Source organism: Homo sapiens, chromosome 14 (assembly GCF_000001405.40).
Source record: "Homo sapiens chromosome 14, GRCh38.p14 Primary Assembly".
In the NCBI taxonomy this organism is placed as follows: Eukaryota; Metazoa; Chordata; class Mammalia; order Primates; family Hominidae; genus Homo; species Homo sapiens.
The window spans coordinates 21,749,904-21,771,314 of NC_000014.9; the positions used below are offsets into that span (position 1 = coordinate 21,749,904).

General features: G+C 40.1%; 1 pseudogene, 1 gene segment (V, D, J or C) and 1 further gene, besides 4 other annotated features; all 3 read left to right on the plus strand.

Moving 5' to 3' along the window:
* TRA (T cell receptor alpha locus) overlaps positions 1-21,411 on the plus strand; it is a 930,229-nt gene that overhangs the window by 128,000 nt on the left and 780,818 nt on the right.
* On the plus strand, positions 309-1,727 carry RPL4P1 (ribosomal protein L4 pseudogene 1; annotated as a pseudogene).
* Positions 18,650-18,701: a sequence feature (TRAV6 leader sequence).
* Positions 18,650-19,177, plus strand: TRAV6 (T cell receptor alpha variable 6). The segment is given in 2 exon segments: positions 18,650-18,701; positions 18,890-19,177. Coding segments are annotated over 2 exon segments (340 nt in total), but the record flags the coding sequence as incomplete, so codon positions are not given.
* Positions 18,890-18,897: a sequence feature (TRAV6 leader sequence).
* Positions 19,185-19,207: a recombination feature (spacer).
* Positions 19,208-19,216: a recombination feature (nonamer).

The window sequence follows — 21,411 nt, forward strand, 5'->3', positions numbered from 1 at the left end:
AGTTAATGATTTCTTAGTTGATATCCTGGTCTTAGGGTTGACTTTATGGGTGCCATAAAGTCATCTGAATGATTTCTCCCCTACCAAGGACATCTTGGTGTCAGAGAATCCTCTCCTTGATGGAGTCTTTTATCTTTTAACATTAGTATTTATTAACTTTTTCTAACTATAAATATATTAAGTGCACGGTATAGGAAAAAACAGGAAATTATAAAATAGAAAATCAAAATGTCTTATAATCCTATCATACACATAATTCATAGCTAACATTTAGTATTCCTTCTTCATTAAAAAAAAAATTAGGATCGCTTTTCCTGTGGCAGCAGCTGGGGTGAGAAGAGCAGTGGCTCTCTCCTCTCTCTGCCATGGCATGTGCTTGCCCACTGATGTCAGCGTACTCTGAGAAGGGAGAGTCATCTGGCAAAAATGTCACTTTGTCTGCCATATTCAAGGCTCCTATTCGACCAGATATTGTGAACTTTGTTCACGCCAACTTGTGCAAAAACAACAGACAGCCCTATGCTGTCAGTGAATCAGCAGGTCATCAAACCAGTGTTGAGTCTTGGAGTACTGGCAGAGCTGCAGCTTGAATTCCCAGAGTTCGAAGTGGTGGGACTCACCATTCTGGCCAGGGAGCTTTTGGAAACATGTGTCGTGGAGGCTGAATGTTTGCACCAACCAAAACCTGGCTCCATTGGCATAGTAGAGTGAATACAACCCCAAAACGATATGTCATCTCTTCTGCCCTGGCTGCCTCAGCCTTACCAGCACTGGTTATGTCTAAGGGTCATCGTATTGAGGAAGCTCCTGAACTTCCTTTGGTAGTCGAAGATAAAGTTGAAGGCTACAAGAAGACCAAGGAGGCTGTTTTGCTTCTTAAGAAACTTAAAGCCTGGAATGATATCGAGAAGGTCTATGTCTCTCAGCAAATGAGATCCAGCAAGAGCAAAACGAGAAACCATCACCGTATCCGGCGCAGGGGCGCCGCATCATCTGTAATGAGGATAATGGTATCGTCAAGGCCTTCAGAAACATCCCTGGAATTACTATGCTTAATATAAGCAAACTGAACATTTTGAAACTTGCTCCTGGTGGGCATGTGGGACATTTCTGCATTTGGACTCAAAGTGCTTTCTGGAAGTTAGATGAATTTTCTGGCACTTGGCATAAAGCTGCTTCCCTCAAGAGTAACTACAATCTTCCCATGCACAAGATGATCAATACAGACCTTAGCAGCATCTTAAAAAGCCCAGAGATCCAGTGAGCCCTTCGAGCACCTTGCAAGAAGATTCATCGCAGAGTCCTAAAGAACCCACTGAAAAATCTGAGAATGATGTTGAAGCTAAACCCATACACACAGATCATGCGCCGGAACACCATTCTTCGCTAGGCCAGGAATCACAAACTCTGGGTGGATAAGGCAGCAGCCGGCAGCAGCAGCACTAGAAGCCAGATCAGATGAGAAGGGGGTTGTAGGCAAGAAGCCTGTGGTATGTAAGAAAGGAAAGAAGGCCATTGTTGATGTTAAGAAGCAGAAGAAGCCTCTGGTGGGAGAAAAGGCAGCAGCTACCAAGAAACCAGCAGCTGAAAAGAAGCCGGCAAAAAAGAAATCTACTACGGAGGAAAAGGAGCCTGCTGCATAAACTCTTAAATTTGATTATTCCATAAAAGTCAAATCATTTTGAACAGCTTCTTTTGAATAAAGACCTAATCAAAGAGGCAGTGAGGAAAAAAAATTAGGATCACTCAGACTTGTATTTTAATTTAATAGTATATTCTAACCTTAATGTTTCACATTTCCCCAATCTTATAAAAATAAATTTTTAAATGATTTTGTGAGTGATTTTATAAGCCAGCATTTTATTTCCACTATAATCGTCCCATATATCTGTGGTGAAAGACAGTATTTTTCTGAACTCAGGTGTTACCCTTTAAATAGTTTCTTACATGTAGGAAGTTTTAAATTTTCTAGAAATTTATTTTTTCTTCTGTTCTAGAAATAATTTGTTTCTTCAATCACTTATGCTCTTTTCCTCTTGTTCTTTCTTCCTCCTTGAAGTGCTGAATGTTTTCATTTGTCCCATTTTTTTTCTATTTTTCACAGCATTTTAAAGGGAAAGTTATATGTTTCTAACATTGTATGTTAAGGTTTCTTTCAGCACTGATGATACTGGGATTTATTAAATCTTCCAGGAGCAGATAAGGAGGTCAGGGTTGATTTAGAATTATTTGCCAAGCCAGAAGTCAGGATGTCTTTTGCTAGTACGAATGGTACATCACTTATATTTAGATGCCAGTTGGAGAACTTGCTGGAGAGGTCCATAGTGATATCCACTTCTGTGCCTGAATTGCTTTTATATTACCATCTCTTTGTATGATTGTATCATTCTAACAGGGAGAGTAGTTTGGTGACCTATGTTCAGTGGTTTGGTTCCTTAAAAATGACAACGATGCTATTTGGTATTCCTCTAATGGCATGCAAACAAACCATAGTTTCTTTTTGTTTTTGTTTTTTTTTTTTTTGAGATGGAGTCTCGCTCTGTCGCTCAGTGGCACAATCTTGGCTCACTGCAAGCTCTGACTCTTGGGTTTATGCCATTCTCCTGCCTCAGCCTTCTGAGTAGCTGGGACTACAGGCGCCCACCATCAGGCCCGGCTAATTTTTTCTATTTTTTGGTAGAGACGGGGTTTCACCGTGTTAGCCAGGATGGTCGCGATCTCCTGACCTCATGATCCACCCGCCTCGGCCTCCCAAAGTGCTGGGATTACAGGCGTGAGCCACCGCGCCTGGCCGTTTGTTTCTAAGATTAAAAATTTTGTTTAAAAACAGATGTTTACTTTCTGAAATGCCTTATAGAGATAGTTGGTGTTTAGTTTTTCACTTTGTACTCGTTATCATCATCATCATCACCATCATCATCAAGTGGAAGCTAATTCTTCCTCATATAATTCATGATCAGAATTACCCTTTATTATTTTACTCTTTGATCTCTTTCTACTCCCCAGGACCCCTGCCACTGCTTTATAAGTGTTAGTCTAATTGCTCATTTGTCCTTAGAGCTGTCTCAGGTGAGCTTTTATCATGTAGGCAGTAACACATGGGTTGATTGGACTATCCTTCAAGTCTATCTTCTTTATAATATGTTTAAAAAGTTGCTCAGTTTTTAGGGCTATGACTTGTGCCACTCCTTGCATCTGGCACTTGTGTGTATTTCACCGTTTTTAATGTTTTACCAATGGACATTTAAGGAAAGGGGCTAGGTAAAATGCACTGAATACACAGATCCATCAATATGTTTGAAATAATGCATGTGAAGCACCTAGCATGATCCTGGCATGTACTCATCATTATTTAATACCAAATGGGTACTGACATATCAGCAGACTTCATCCTCAATATGGATGTAGCTAGATAAAAACCAACAGAATGTAGCTTTCTCTTATTTCTGGCTCGGTGTTTCACTTTTTCTGGTATCATGATGCCCACTAAATTGAACATGTCCAAAACTAGAATATGTCTTTTAAATTTTATTTATTTATTTACTTATTTATTTTGAGATGGAGTTTTGCTCTGTTGCCCAGGCTGCAGTGTAATGGTGTGATCTTGGCTCACTGCAACCTCCGCCTCCTGGGTTCAAGCGATTCTCCTTCCTCAGTCTTCTGAGTAGCTGGGATTGCAGGTGCCTGCCACCATGCCTGGCTAATTTTGTATTTTTGGTAGAGACAGGGTTTCTCCATGTTGGCCAGGCTGGTCTTGAACTCCTGACCTCAAGTGATTCACCTGCCTCGGCTTCCCAAAGTATTGGGATTACAGTTGTGAGCCACTTTGCCTGGCCAATATCTGTCTTTTTAAAAATAAGTTTTTTGATATAGACTTGGCAAGATGGCTGAATAGGAACAGCTGTGGTCTGTAGCTCCTAGCAAGATTGACACAGAAGGTGGGTGATTTCTGCATTTCCAACTGAGGTACCTGGTTCATCTCACTGGGACTGGTCAGACAGTGGGTGCAGCCCACAGAGGGCGAGCCAAAGCAGGGTGGGGTGTTGCCTCATCTGGGAAGCAGAAGGGGTCAGGGAACTCCTTTCCTTAGCCAAGATAGCCATGAGGGACTGTGCCGTGAGGAATGGTGCACTCCAGCCCAGATACTGCACTTTTCCCATGGTATTCACAACCCACAGACCCACAGGAGATTTCCTCCGGTGCCTATGCCACCAGAGCCCTGGGTTTCAAGCACAAAACTGGGTGGCTGTTTGGGCAGACACTGAGCTAGCTTCAGAATTTTTTTTCATACGCTAGTGGTGCCTGAAACGCCAGCAAGACAGAACCATTCACTCCCCTGGAAAGGGGGCTGAAGCCAGGGAGCCAAGTGGTCTGGCTTAGCGGGTCCCAACCCCACAGAGCCCAGCAAGCTAAGATTCACTGGCTTGAAATTCTCGCTGCTAGCACAGCAATCTGAGTTCGACCTGGGACACTCGAGCTTGGTGGGGAGACGGGCGTCTGCCATTGCTGAGGCTTGAGTAGGCGGTTTTACCCTTACAGTGTAAAGAAAGCCACTGGGAAGTTCAAACTTGGCAGAGCCCACCACAGCCCAGAAAGGCTGCTGTGGCCAGACTGCCTCTCTAGATTCCTCCTCTCTGGCAGACCATCTCTGAAAAAAAAAGCAGCAGCCCCAGTCAGGGGCTTATAGATAAAACCCCCATCTCCCTGGGACAGAGCACCTGGGGAAGGGGTGGATGTGGGGGCAGCTTCAGCAGACTTAAATGTCCCTGTCTGATAGCTCTGAAGAGAGCAGTGGATCTCCCAGCACAGTGTTCGAGCTCTGCAAAGGGTCAGGCTGTCTCCTCAAATGGGTCCCTGACCCCGTGTCTCCTGACTGGGAAAACCTCCCAGTTGGGGCCAACAGACACCTCATACAGGAGAGCTCTGGCTGGCATATGGCAGGTGCCCTCTGGGACAAAGCTTCCAGAGGAAGGAACAGGCAGCAATCTTTGCTGTTCTGCAGCCTCTGCTGGTGATACCCAGGCAAACAGGGTCAGGAGTGGACCTCCAGCAAACTCCAGCAGACCCGGAGCAGAGAAGCCTGAGTGTTAGAAGGAAAACTAATGAACAGAAGGGAATAGCATCAACATCAACAAAAAGGAAGTCCACTTACAGACCCCTATCTGAAGGTCACCAACATCAAAGACCAAAGGTAGATAAATACACAAAGATGGGGAGAAACTGGCATAAAAAGTCTGAAATTCAAAAAACCAGAACGCCTCTTGTCTTCCAAAGGATCCCAACTCCTTGCCAGCAAGGCAACAAAGCTGGACAATGAGTTTTACAAATTGACAGAAGTAGGCTTCAAAAGGTGGGTAAAAACAAACTCCTCTGAGCTAAAGGGGTATGTTATAACCCAATACAAAGAAGCTAAGAATGTTGAAAACACGTTAGGTGAATTGCTAAATAGAATAACCAGTTTAGAGAAGAACATAAATGACCTGATGGAGATGAAAAACACAGAATGAGAACTTCGTGAAGCAAACACAAGTATCAATAGCCAAATCAATCAAGGAGAAGAAAGGATATCAGAGATTGAAGATAAACTTAATGAAATAAAGTGAGAAGACAAAATTAGAGAAAAAAGAATGAAAAGGAACAAACAAAGCCTCCAAGAAATATGGGACTATGTGAAAAGACCAAATTTACGTTTGATTGGAATACCTGAAAGTGATGGGAAGAATGGAACCAAGTTGGAAAACTCTTCAGGATATTATCCAGGAGAACTTCCACAACCTAGAAAGACAGGCCAACATTCAAATTAAGGAAATACAGAGAACACCACAAACATACTCCTCGAGAAGAGCAACCCCAAGACACATAATCATGAGATTCACCAAGGTCAAAATGAAGGAAAAAATGTTAAGGGCAGCCAGAGAGAAAGGTCGGGTTACCCACAAAGGGAAGCCCATCAGACAAACAGCAGATCTCTCTGCAGAAACCCTACAAGCCAGAAGAGAGTGGGGCCAATATTCAACATTCTTTTTTTTTTTCATCATTTCAGCTTTATTTTATATTACATCAAAATTATGTTTTTGAAACTTTATGGAGACCATAAAACATTCGCTTTCAAAAAATTACCCTTGTTGCCTATAGTGTCTTCTCCATAGGCATATTCTACATGTGTTTTATGATTTTTTTTTATTTTATTATTATTATTTTTTATTATGCTTTAAGTTTTAGGGCACATGTGCACAACGTGCAGGTTTGTTACATATGTATACATGTGCCATGTTGGTGTGCTGCACCCATTAACTCATCATTTAGCATTAGGTATATCTCCTAATGCTATCCCTCCCCCCTCCCCCCACCCCACAACAGTCCCCGGTGTGTGATGTTCCCCTTCCTGTGTCCATGTGTTCTCATTGTTCAATTCCCACCTATGAGTGAGAACATGCAGTGTTTGGTTTTTTGTCCTTGCGATAGTTTGCTGAGAATGATGGTTTCCAGCTTCATCCATGTCCCTACAAAGGACATGAACTCATCATTTTTTATGGCTTTTTAATGATCACCATTCTAACTGGTGTGAGATGGTATCTCATTGTGGTTTTGATTTGCATTTCTCTGATGGCCAGTGATGATGAGCACTTTTTCATGTGTCTTTTGGCTGCATAAATGTCTTCTTTTGAGAAGTGTCTGTTCATATCCTTTGCCCACTTTTTGATGGAGTTGTTTGTTTTTTTCTTGTAAATTTGTTGGAGTTCATTGTAGATTCTGGATATTAGCCCTTTGTCAGATGAGTAGATTGCAAAAATTTTCTCCCATTCTGTAGGTTGCCGGTTCACTCTGATGGTAGTTTCTTTTGCTGTACAGAAGCTCTTTAGTTTAATTAGAATCCCATTTGTCAATTTTAGCTTTTGTTGCCATTGCTTTTGGTGTTTTAGACATGAAGTCCTTGCCCATGCCTATGGCCTGAATGGTATTGCCTAGGTTTTCTTCTAGGGTTTTTATGGTTTTAGGTCTAACATTTAAGTCTTTAATCCATCTTGAATTAATTTTTGTATAAGGTGTAAGGAAGGGATCCAGTTTCAGCTTTCTACATAGCTTTCTACAGCTAGCCAGTTTTCCCAGCCCCATTTATTAAACAGGGAATCCTTTCCCCATTTCTTGTTTTTGTCAGGTTTGTCAAAGATCAGATAGTTGTAGATATGTGGCATTATTTCTGAGGGCTCTGTTCTGTTCCATTGGTCTATATCTCTGTTTTGGTGCCAGTACTGTGCTGTTTTGGTTACTGTAACCTTGTAGTATAGTTTGAAGTCAGGTAGCCTGATGCCTCCAGTTTTGTTCTTTTGGCTTAGGATTGACTTGGCAATGCAGGCTCTTTTTTGGTTCCATATGAACTTTAAAGTAGTTTTTTCCAATTCTGTGAAGAAAATCATTGGTAGCTTGATGGGGATGGCATTGAATCTATAAATTACCTTGGGCAGTATGGCCATTTTCATGATATTGATTCTTCCTACCCATGAGCATGGAATGTTCTTCCATTTGTTTGTATCCTCTTTTATTTCATTGAGCAGTGGTTTGTAGTTCTCCTTGCAGAGGTCCTTCACATCCCTTGTAAGTTGGATTCCGAGGTATTTTATTCTCTTTGAAGCAATTGTGAATGGGAGTTCACTCATGATTTGGCTCTCTGTTTGTCTGTTATTGGTGTATAAGAATGGTTGTGTTTTTTGTACATTGATTTTGTATCCTGAGACTTTGCTGAAGTAGCTTATCAGCTTAAGGAGATCTTGGGCTGAGATGATGGGGTTTTCTAAATATACAATCATGTCATCTGCAAACAGGGACAATTTGACTTCCTCTTTTCCTAATTGAATACCCTTTATTTCCTTCTCCTGCCTGATTGCCCTGGCCAGAACTTCCAACACTATGTTGAATAGGAGTGGTGAGAGAGGGCATCCCTGTCTTGTGCCAGTTTTCAAAGGGAATGCTTCCAGTGTTTGCCCATTCAGTATGATATTGGCTGTGGGTTTGTCATAGATAGCTTTTATTATTTTGAGATCCATCCCATCAATACCTAATTTGTTGAGAGTTTTTAGCGTGAAGTGTTGTTGAATTTTGTCGAAGGCCTTTTCTGCATCTATTGAGTTAATCATGTGGTTTTTGTCATTGGTTCTGTTTATATGCTGGATTACGTTTATTGACTTGCATATGTTGAACCAGCCTTGCATCCCAGGGATGAAGCCCACTTGATCATGGTGGATAAGCTTTTTAATGTGCTGCTGGATTCAGTTTGCCAGTATTTTATTGAGGATTTTTGCATCGATGTTCATCAGGGATATTGGTCTAAAATTCTCTTTTTTTTGTTGTGTCTCTGCCAGGCTCTGGTATCAGGATGATACTAGCCTCATAAAATGAGTTAGGGAGGATTCCCTCTTTTTCTATTGATTGGAATAGTTTCAGAAGGAATGGTACCAGCTCCTGTTTGTACCTCTGGTAGAATTTGGCTGTGAATCCATCTGGTCCTGGACTTCTTTGGTTGGTAGGCTCTTAATTATTGCCTCAATTTGAGAGCCTGTTATTGGTCTATTCAGGGATTCAACTTCTTCCTGGTTTAGTCTTGGGAGGGTGTATATGTCGAGGAATTTATCCATTTCTTCTAGATTTTCTAGTTTATTTGCGTAGAGGTGTTTATAGTATTCTCTGATGGTAGTTTGTATCTCTGTGGGATGGAAGGTGATATCCCCTTTATCCTTTTTTATTGCCTCTATTTGATTCTTCTCTCTTTTCTTCTTTATTAGTCTTGCTAGCGGTCTATCAGTTGTGTTGATCTTTTCAAAAAAACAGCTCCTGGATTCATTGACTTTTTGAAGGGTTTTTTGTGTCTCTATCTCCTTCAGTTTTGCTCTGATCTTAGTTATTTCTTGCCTTCTGCTAGCTTTTGAATGTGTTTGCTCTTGCTTCTCTGGTTCTTTTAATTTTGATGTTAGGGTGTCAATTTTAGATCTTTCCTGCTTTCTCTTATGGGCATTTAGTGCTATAAATTTCCCTCTACACACTGCTTTAAATGTGTCCCAGAGATTCTGGTATGTTGTGTATTTGTTCTCGTTGGTTTCAAAGAACATCTTTATTTCTGCCTTCATTTCGTTATATAACCAGTAGTCATTCAGGAGCAGGTTGTTCAGTTTCCATGTAGTTGAGTGGTTTTGAGTGAGTTTCTTAATCCTGAGTTCTAGTTTGATTGCACTGTGGTCTGAGAGACAGTTTGTTATAATTTCTGTTCTTTTACATTTACTGAGGAGTGCTTTACTTCCAACTATGTGGTCAATTTTGGAATAGGTGTGGTGTGGTGCTGAGAAGAATGTCTCCTGTTGATTTGGGGTGGAGAGTTCTGTAGATGTCTATTAGGTCCACTTGGTGCAGAGCTGAGTTCAATTCCTGGATATCCTTGTTAACTTTCTGTCTCGTTGATCTGTCTAATGTTGACAGTGGGGTGTTAAAGTCTCCCATTATTATGGTGTGGGAGTCTAAGTCTCTTTGTAGGTCTCAAGGACTTGCTTTATGAATCTGGGTGCTCCTGTATTGGCTGCATATATTTTTAGGATAGTTAGCTCTTCCTGTGGAATTGATCCCTTTACCATTATGTAATGGCCTTCTTTGTCTCTTTTGATCTTTGTTGGTTTAAAGTCTGTTTTATCAGAGTCTAGGATTGCAATCCCTGCATTTTCTTGTTTTCCATTTGCTTGGTAGATCTTCCTCCATCTCTTTATTTTGAGCCTATGTGTGTCTCTGCATGTGAGATGGGTTTCCTGAGTACAGCACACTGATGGGTCTTGACTCTTTATCCAATTTGCTAGTCTGTGTCTTTTAATTGGAGCATTTAGCACATTTACATTTAAGGTTAATATTGTTATGTGTGAATTTGATCCTGTCATTATGATGTTAGCTGGTTATTTTGCTCGTTAGTTGATGTAGCTTCTTCCTAGCCTTGATGATCTGGCAACAGAGCCAGACCCTGTCTCAAAAAAAAAAAAAAGTAAAACAGTAATAAATAAATAGATACATATACAGAAGATACAAGGAGACAACTTGCACGAGGAAAAGCCACATGGTTCACAAACATATGGGAAATGTTTAAACCTACTGGTATTCACAAAAGTGAAAGCAAATAACTTAAAAAACCTATCAAGGAAGAGGACCAAATAGGAACAGCTCTGGTCTACAGCTCCCAGCGAGATTGATGCAGAAGGTGGGTGATTTTTGCATTTCCAACTGAGGTACCTGGTTCATCTCACTGGGACTGGTTGGACAGTGGGTACAGCCCATGGAGAGTGAGCCAAAGCTGGATGAGGCATCGCCTCACCTGGGAAGTGCAAGGGGTCATGGGAGATTTCCCTTTCCTAGCCAAGGTAAGCTATGACAGACTGTACCTGGAGAAATGGTACACTCCTGACCAAATACTGCTCTTTTCCCACAGTCTTAGCAACCAGCAGACCAGGAGATACCCTCCCATGCCTGGCTCAGTGGGTCCCATGACCACAGAGCCTTGCTTACTGCTAGCATAGCAGTCTGAGATTGACCTGCGATGCTGCGGCTTGATGGGGGGACGGGAGTCTGCCCTTGCTGAGGCTTGAGTAGCTCACAGTGTAAACCAAGCTGCCGGGAAGCATGAACTGGGCAGAGCCCACCACAGCTCAGCAAGGCCTACTACCTCTACAGATTCTACCTCTAGGGGCGGGGCATAGTAGAACAAAAGGCAGCAGACAGCTTCTGCAGACTTAAACGTCCCTGTCTGACAGCTCTGAAGAGAGCAGTGGTTCTCTCAGCATGGCATTTGTGCTCCAAGAATGGACATATGGCCTCTTCAAGCAGGCCCCTGACCTCCATGTAGCCTGACTGGGAAACCCCTCACAGTAGGGGCTGAGAGAGTCCTCAAACAGGCTAATACCCCTCTGGGACGAAGCTTCCAGAGGAAGGATCAGGCAGCAATATTTGTTGTTCTGCAGCCTCTGCTGGTGATACCCAGGAAAACAGGATCTGGAGTGGACCTCCAGCAAACTCCAAAAGACCTGAAGCTGAAGGGTCTGACTGTTAGAAGGAAAACTAACAAACAGAAAGGAATAGCATCAACATCAACAAAAAGGACATCCACACCAAAACCCCATCTGTAGGTCACCAACATCAAAGACCAAAGGTAGATAAAACCACAAAGATGGGGAGAAACCAGAGCAGAAAAGCTGAAAATTCTAAAAAACAGAGCACCTCTTCTCCTCCAAAGGATTGTAGCTCCTCGCCAGCAAGGGAGCAAAACTGGACAGAGAATGAGTTTGACTAGATGACAGAAGCAGGCTTCAGAAGATCTGTAATAACAAACTTCTTTGAGTGAAAGGAGCATGTCCTAGTCCATCACAAGGAAGCTAAAAACCTTGAAAAAAGGTTTGATGAATGGCTAACTAGAATACACAGTGTAGAGAGGACCTTAAATGACCTGACGGAGCTCAAAACCATGGCACAAGAACTTCATGATGCACGCACAAGCTTCAATAGCCAATTCAATCAAGTGGAAGAAAGGATATCAGTGATTGAAGATCAAATTAATGAAATAAAGCAAGAAGATAAGGTTAGAGAAAAAAGAGTGAAAAGAAATGAAAAAAGGCTTCAAAAAATATGGACTCTGTGAAAAGACCAAATATATGTTTGACTGGGGTACCGGAAAGTGACAGGGAGAATGGAACCAAGTTAGAAAACACTCTTCAGGGTATTATCCGGCAGAACTTCCCCAACCTAGCAAGGCAGGCCAACATTCAAAGTCAAGAAATACAGAGAACACCACAAAGATACTCCTCGAGAAGAGCAACGCCAAGACACATAATTGTCAGATTCACCAAGGTTGAAATGAAGGAAAAAGTGTTAAGGGCAGCCAGAGAGAAAGTCTGGGTTACCCAAAAAGGGAAGCCCATCAAACTAACAGTGGATCTCTCTGCAGAAACCCTACAAGCCAGAAGAGAGTGGGGGCCAATATTCAGCATTCTTAAAGAAAAGAATTTTCAACCCAGAATCTCATATCCAGCCAACCTAATCTTCATAAGTGAAGGAGAAATAAAATCCTTTACAGACAAGCAAATTCTGAGAGATTTTATTACCACCAGGCCTGCCTTACAAGAGCTCCTGAAGGAAGCAATAAACATGGAAAGGAACAAGCAGTACAAGCCACTGCAGAAACATACTAAATGGTACAGATCATCGACACTATGAAGAAACTCCATCAATTAACGGGCAAAATAACCAGCTAACATCATAATGACAGGATCAAATTCAAACATAACAATAATAACCTTAAATGTAAATGGGCTAAATACCCCAGTTAACAGACACAGACTGGCAAATTGGATAGAGTCAATTCCAATCAGTGTGCTGTATTCAGGAGACCCATCTCACATGCAAAGATGCACATAGGCTCAAAATAAAGGAATGGAGGAAGATCTACCAAGAAAATGGAAGGCAAAAAAAAGCAGGGGTTGCAATCCTAGTCTCTGATAAAACAGACTTAAACCAACAAAGATCAAAAGAGACAAAGGAGGCCATTACATAACGGTAAAGGGATCCATGCAACAAGAAGAGCTAACTATCCTAAATATATATGCACCCAACACAGGAGCACCCAGATTCATAAAACAAATTCTTAGAGTCTACCAAGAGACGTAGACTCCCACACAGTAATAGTGGGAGACTTTAACACCTCACCGTCAATATTAGACAGATCAATGAGACAGAAAGTTAACAAAGATATCCAGGACTTGATCTCAGCTCTGGACCAAGTGGACCTCATAGACATCTACAGAACTCTACACCCCAAATCAACAGAATAGACATTCCTCTCAGCACCACATCACACTTATTCTAAAATTGACCACATAATTGGTAGTAAAACACTCCTCAGCAAATGTAAAAGAACAGAAATTATAACAAACTGTCTCTCAGACCACAACGCAATCAAATTAGAACTCAGGATTAAGAAACTCACTCAAAACTGCTCAACTACAAGGAAACTGAACAACCTGCTCCTGAGTGACTACTGGGTATATAACGAAATGAAGGCAGAAATAAAGATGTTCTTTGAAACCAACGAGAACAAAGACACAACATACCAGAATCTCTGGGACACATTTAAAGCAGTGTGTAGAGGGAAATTTATAGCACTAAATGCCCATAAGAGAAAACAGGAAAGATCTAAAATTGACACCCTAACATCACAACTAAAAGAACTAGAGAAGCAAGAGCAAACACATTCAAAAGCTAGCGGAAGGCAAGAAATAACTAAGATCAGAGCAAAACTGAAGGAGATAGAGACACAAAAAACCCTTGAAAAAGTCAATGAATCCAGGAGCTGGTTTTTTGAAAAGAACAACAAAATTGATAGACTGTTAGCAAGACTAATAAAGAAGAAGAGAGAGAGAAATCAAACAGACCCAATAAAAATGATAAAGGGGATGTCACCACTGATCCCACAGAAATACAAACTACCATCAGAGAATACTACAAACACCTCTACGCAAATAAATTAGAAAATCTAGAAGAAATGGATAAATTCCTGGACACATACACCCTCCCAAGACTAAACCAAGAAGAAGTTGAATCTCTGAATAGACCAATAAGAGGTTCTGAAATTGAGGTAATAATTAATAGCCTACAAACCAAAAAAAGTCCAGGACCAGATGGATTCATATCCAAATTCTACCAGAGGTACAAGGTGGAGCTGGTACCATTCCTTCTGAAACTATTTCAATCAATAGAAAAAGAGGGAATCCTCCCCAGCTCATTTTATGAGGCCAGCATCAACCTGACACCAAAGCCTGGTAGAGACATAACAAAAAAGAGAATTTTAGGCCAATATCCCTGATGAACATTGTGCAAAGATCCTCAAAAAAATACTGGCAAACCAAATCCAGCAGCACATCGAAAAGCGTATCCACCACGACCAAGTCAGCTTCATCCCAGGGATGCAAGACTGGTTCAACATACATAAATCAATAAACACAATCCATCAGATAAACAGAACCAAAGACAAAAACCACATGATTATCTCAATAGATGCAGAAAGGGCCTTCAACAAAATTCAACAGCCCTTCATGCTAAAAACTCTCAATAACTAGGTATTGATGGAATGTACCTCAAAATAATAAGAGCTATTTATGACAAACCCACAGCCAGTATCACACTGAATGGGCAAAAACTGGAAGCGTACACTTTGAAAACCAGCAGAAGACAAGGATGCCCTCTATTACCACTCCTATTCAACGTAGAACACTATGTTGGAAGTTCTGGCTAGGGCAATCAGGCAAGAGAAAGAAATAAAGGATATTCAAACAGGAAAAGAGGAAGTCAAATTGTCTCTGTTTGCAGATGACATGATTGTATATTTAGAAAACCCCATCATCTCAGCCCAAAATCTCCTTAAGCTGATAAGCTACTTCAGCAAAGTCTCAGGATACAAAATCAATGTTCAAAAATCACAAGCACTCCTATACACCAATAATAGACAAACAGAGAGTCAAATCATGAGTGAACCCCCATTCACAATTACTACAAAGAGAATAAAATACCTAGGAATCCAACTTATGAGGGATGTGAAGGACCTCTTCAAGGAGAACTACAAACCACTGCTCAAGGAAATAAAGGAGGACTCAAACAAATGGAAAAACATTCCATGCTCATGGATAGGAAGGATCAATATCGTGAAAATTGCTATACTGCCCAAAGTAATTTATAGATTCAGTGCTATCCCCATCAGGCTACTACTGACTTTTTTCACAGAATTGGAAAAAGCTACTTTAAATTTCATATGGAACCAAATAAGGGCCCTCATAGCCAAGACAATCCTAAGCAAAAAGAACAAAACTGGAGGCATCATGCTACCTGACTTCAAACTATATTACAAGCCTACTAAAACAGTAGTACTAAACTACAGTTTAGTAACTAAACAGTTAGTACAAGTAACTAAAACAGCATGGTACTGGTACCAAAACAGATATATAGAGCAATGGAACACAACAGAGGCCTCAGAAATAACACTATACATCTACAACCATCTGATCTTAGACAAACCTGAGAAAACCAAGCAATGGGGAAAGGATTCCTTATTTAATAAATGGCACTGGGAAAACTGGCTAGCCACATGTAGAAAGCTGAAACTGAATCCCTTCCTTACACCAGATATAAAAATTAACTCAAGATGGATTAAAGACTTAAATGTAAGACCTAACACCAAAAAAGCCCTAGAAGAAAACCTAGGCAATACCATTCAGGACATAGCATGTTGTACGTGTTGACATAGGACAAGACTTCATGACTAAAACACCAAAAGCAATGGCAACAAAAGCCAAAATTGACAAATGGGATCTAATTAAACTAAAGAGCTTCTGCACAGCAAAAGAAGCTATCATCAGAGTGAATAGGCAAACTACAGAATAGGAGAAAAACTTTGCAATCTATCCATCTGACAAAGGACTAATATCCAGAATCTACAAGGAACTTAAAGAAGTTTACAAGAAGAAAACAAACAACCCCATCAAAAAGTGGGCAAGGGATATGAACAGACACTTCTCAAAAGAAGACGTTTATGCAGCCAACAGATGCATGAAAAAATGCACATCATCACTGGCCATCACAGCAATGCAAATCAAAACCATAATGAGATACCATCTCACGCCAGTTAGAATGGTGATCATTAAAAAGTCAGGAAACATCAGATGCTGGAGAGGATGTGGAGGAATAGGTACGTTTTTACACTATTGGTGGGAGTGTAAATTAGTTCAACCATTGTGGAAGACAGTGTGGCGATTCCTCAAGGATCTAAAACTAGAAATACCATTTGACCCAGCGATCCCATTACTGGGTATATACCCAAAGGATTGTAAATCATGCTGCTATAAAGACACATGCACACGTATGTTTATTGCGGCACTGTTCACAATGGCAAAGATTTGGAACCAACCTAAATGCCCATCAATGATAGACTGGATTAAGAAAATGTGGCACATATACACCATGGAATACTATGGAGCCATAAAAAAGGATGAGTTCATGTCCTTTGCAAGGACATGGATGAAGCTGGAAACCATCATTCTCAGCAAACTACCACAAGGACAGAAAACCAAACACCGCGTGTTCTCACTCATAGGTGGGAGTTGAACAACGAGAATACGTGAACACAGGGCAGGGAACATCAGACACTGGGGCCTGTTGTGGGGTGGGGGTCTGGGGGAGGGATAGCATTAGGAGAAATACCTAATGTAAATGACGAGTTGATGGGTGCAGCAAACCAACATGGCACATATATACCTATGTAACAAACCTGCACGTTGTGCACATGTACCCTAGAACCTAAAGTATAATTAAAAAAAGGATCAAAAGCTTTTTTAAAAAAAGAAAGAAATACTTGTATTTGTATGCAGTGTTAAAAAAAAAACAAAAAAAATTAGGAAATTATAGAAATAGCAAATCGAAAGGGAGATAATTTGGAAAAAATGCAGTGAAACATACTGCTCTGGTGGGAGAGTAAACTTGTAAGCCATTTTAAAAAGTAATTTAAAAACATGACAATAATCTAAAAAATATTCATTTTCTTCATTGTAATGATTTTCTCTAGAGAATCTGTCTTCAGGAAAACTCTAAATGCATATAATAATTATTTACAAAGGTATTTGGAAAGTTATGTACACTACCCCAAAATGGAAAACCAAAATGTCTCATCTTTAAGGGAAAGGCTTAATGACACAAATGGAATATTATGCACCAAATAAATGGTGTTTACAAAGATAATCTACAATGATTATTGAATAGTAATGATTATTGAATAGTAATAATTAAAAAGAATCAAGATATCGTTGCCACTTAATAAAAATCTGAATAGTGCAAATGTTGGGAAAAACGCACTGAGATATTGATAATGCATATCTTTGCTTGATAAGGTAAGTAGTGATTTTCTCTTTCATCCTATTTTTATCAGTTTTCCAAAATATGCCTTAGTTGATTAAAAGTCTTTCCAATCCACCATTTTCTGTAAATTTTGTAAAATTACTCTTAGCTCTGAAGTTCAATGACCCTGGTTCAGTCACCTATACCTCACAATGAGAAAGCAGCAATAACCTCCTGACTGGTTTTGCAGCCACTATTGGATTCCTTTTCTTATATTAATAGTTCATATTTATTCAGTTCTTACTGTGTCTGATGCATTATATAAAGCATTTTATATACATTAGCCAATGCATTCTAGTGATATCCCCCATTTTACAGATAAGGAAATTCATACTTAGAGACATTAAGTAGCTTGCTCTAGCTCACTCAGAGATTAAATGGAGGAGTTTCAAAGCCAGGTTTGTTTGAGGCTGGAATACAAACTCTTAACTATTCTTTCATGATGTCTATCAACATACTTCTCCAAATTATTCTTGTAGATAAGCAGCCTAATTAATAGAATGTTAACAGAATAGAATGTCCAGTATATGGACTTCCATTTTCATAATATTACCTCCTCTAAAGCCTCAAAAGTTCCTTGTTTGCTAACAAATAACCTACAAATGAATCCTGGCATTCAAAATCTTTTGTTTTCTAGACCTGAATTCTCCTTCCAACTTGATTTTCTGCTACATTCTAGCCCATTCTCTCTTTCTTCTATCTGTCCATCCATCTGTTCAGCTGTCATTGATCTCTCCATGGAATGGCATAAATGCATCTAAGGAAGTGACTACAATACATCCATCCTGGCATTAAAAAGTAGAAAAGAAAGGATTTCTGATATATATAATCAGAGGGCTGCTGTATTTTAAAAATAATTTTAAACACCCTCTCAGAGGGTATTCTAGGGGTAAAAAACCCTTCACTCGTTTGAATTCTCGCTGAATTTAAACTGAATGTCTACTTATTATAGCCCAACAAGATAAAGAAAAAAGGCCTTTTGAAGTCAAAGCAATACTTTTTTTTCACCTGTGGGAAGGCCTATTCCCTAGATCTGGGAAAGTTTCCTAGAATTCAGCCATACATTTTCTGTGTTTTACATTATCTAGAGCACATGACATCTGCAACTGTGGCAAGAAGGACAGAGTAGTTCAACTGGGCAATGAAATGGAGAACTTGGAAAACTTGATCATTTGACCTGTATCCAGAATTAATATTGTCAATTCCATGTTATGTACTGAGACTCAATTAGCATTCTTCTGGACTTGTTACTTACAAGTGTGGTCTGAGAACCAACTGTATCAGCATCACCAGTAAACTTGTTAAAATGTGGAATATCCAGCCCCACCTCAGACCTAATGAAACAGAATTCACAGCTTAACAAAATCCCCAGGTGATTTGCATACATAATTAAGTTTTAGAAGCCCTGACCTGGGAGCACGTTCCATTATTATAACAACTTTCTGAACACAAGAGGGCAGTATTTCCTACCCCCTCAGAGCCTGTCTCAGATGTGAACCGAAGTTCACTGCATAGCTGGATTAGGCCAGTATGTGTAAGGGGCTGAACAGGCTTGCCATTGATTGGCTGGATAGGAAGGCCAGAACTTCCTTCTAGGGGTAGAAGAACCCCAGTAACACCTATCAAACTAAACAGAATGGCTTTTTGGCTGAGAAGCCTGGGTCTACATTTCAGGCCACATTTGGGGAGACGAATGGAGTCATTCCTGGGAGGTGTTTTGCTGATTTTGTGGCTTCAAGTGGACTGTGAGTTGGAGATTTCCTGTTGATGGAGACAGAGAGATCCAGGGCTGCAGTGCACAGGATGAAGGGGAGGGGCTAGGATCCATTCTTCCCCATCTTTGGTTATATCTGGGGTTGTGGGAGGAAAATAGACTCAACAGTGTCAGTGTAGTGACTAACCCTCCTACTTTTGGTGTTGTGTTTCTGCCTAGGGGTGAAGAGCCAAAAGATAGAACAGAATTCCGAGGCTCTGAACATTCAGGAGGGTAAAACGGCCACCCTGACCTGCAACTATACAAACTATTCTCCAGCATACTTACAGTGGTACCGACAAGATCCAGGAAGAGGCCCTGTTTTCTTGCTACTCATACGTGAAAATGAGAAAGAAAAAAGGAAAGAAAGACTGAAGGTCACCTTTGATACCACCCTTAAACAGAGTTTGTTTCATATCACAGCCTCCCAGCCTGCAGACTCAGCTACCTACCTCTGTGCTCTAGACACACAGTAGTGCCCTGGCAGCTGCTTCCTGCACCCAAACTCTGCTAACTCTCACAATCAGAGCTCATGGCTGTGCTGTCTCCCAAAGGCTAATCACAGCTCCTGACAGAATGGGGGGGTGTTAGTTGAAAGGGCAATTTTCAAAACAAACAAACAAATGCTCTGAAGAATTCCTCAGAGAAAGGAGGGAGGACTTGCTTTTAAAAAATGCATAAATTCTGCTTAGTTTTTGTGACTAGCCTAGAGCAGCGTGATAAATTTATGGAGTTAAACACATTACACTTAAGCATTAAAACATGGATTCTTCTAGATGAAAAAATAATCCAAACATTTTTGAGTCCCTTCCCAAACTGAACACTGAATAATGATGATGATGATGATAATGATAAAAAATTGACCTTTTTAAAAATTGTTCATCTTATGAATGGATAACCATGCTATATTGGAAAACATGCCATAAGTCATGGCATTGCAGAGATAAATTTAGAGCCGTTGTTTACTATGTATGTGGTATCAGTGAGTAGGTCAATATACAAGTCTTCTTTTTCATTTGTTTCTTAAGAGACAGGGTCACACTCTGTCACCCAGGCTGGAGGCTGGAGTGCAATAGCACAATCACAGCTCACTGCAGACCACAACTCCTGGGCTTAAGTGATCCTCCTGCCTCAGCCTCCTGAGTAGCTGGAATTACAAGCACACACCACCATGCCTGGGTTGTACAACTCTTTTAAGAAAGAGAACTTACACCTTCTCATGTTAGGCATGGGTTCTGAGTTGAGGACTTCTCCGTTATTATTGCCTGCATTGCCATTTCTATCAATTTCTGTCATCTATGTATTACCTTATTTCTTGATCTATTTTTAGATTATTGCCAAAACAGACAGATCCCATAGGTCATGCATGTTCAGTTACTAACATGGCAGAATCTGTGGGTTTTGACTAACTCTGTTTTAGGCTAGGGCTGATATTTCTGTCTGCTTTGGGCCACATACAGTCACTGCCAAAATGATATGATCATGAAGCTGTTTGTGTTTGAGTGTAGGAAGAGGTGCAGAGAGAATATATGTAGGATAATAGGGGAAGAAAACAATACACCTAGAAAAACAGAATTTGAGGACAAGAAGTCCCTTCTTTTAATCACCATTAATAAAATAGAGGCAGCTAGGAATAAGAAAATAATGGGCTCTGAGTCACTGGCATCTGGGATTTGATAGTCAGAGAGAAGGAGAGTTCAATGCAGAGATTGTTAACCATAGTTGGACATCTTGAAGGTTCATAAACTCCCTGAAATTGAGAATAGATGAAATATTATTATGACATAATTATTGTTTGGGAGGAGTTTTCCTCCCATTTCTGGCAATGAACAAGAAAAGATTCATATAATTTGAATATGGATAAGAGTTATGTCAGAACAGGGGGCTGAGAGAAGGATGAGGGATTGTTCAACAGCTCAGGCCAGAGATGAGGACAGACCTAAGAAATGATTGAATGTAGGAGAATTTAGAAGGGAGTAAATAATTTTCTCCAACAGGAATTGGAATGTCTTTCCCTTTGTAATAAATGGAGGGTATAAATTACAACTGGCAGTACAGCATTCAAAAGTATGGGCGTGGGAGTGCAACATATCGGTGGAAAATTCTGACCCAGTCAATGACTGGGCTGTGTTGTCTTGGGGAAGTGTTTCTAGATCTCTGAGTACCAAATTCCTCTCCTGTGAAATGCTAGTAATAGAATTACCTCATAGGATTATTGTTAATATGTTTATACATATTAACATAAACATATGTATATGTTTATACATAAAAGTATAAAAATATATATAAGGCAACTATTGTGGTGGCAGGTACACCAGTGCACTAGAAATTCAACAGACACTTGTTTATAGTTCATTTCTTTCAGGAAGTTAAAACTCAAATTTTCTGCTCTAAGCATTAAATATATCTTTTTCATGTTCTATTTCTGTAATCTTTTTACTAATCACCTCAAAATCTATTTGAAATGATTTGGTATGTAAATATATAAATGATCTGTGTTTCACAAACCAGAGACATTAACAAATATTATTGAGTACCTGCTATGTGCCAGACACTGCTATATACAGCAGGGATGCATCAATGAATAAAATAGACAGAAGTTTTGGCTCTCCTGGAGCTTATATTTTATTGAAAAAACAGAGTGAACAAAAAATGTGATAAGTAATATAGTATGTTAGAAGACAGTAAGTACTATGGGAAAA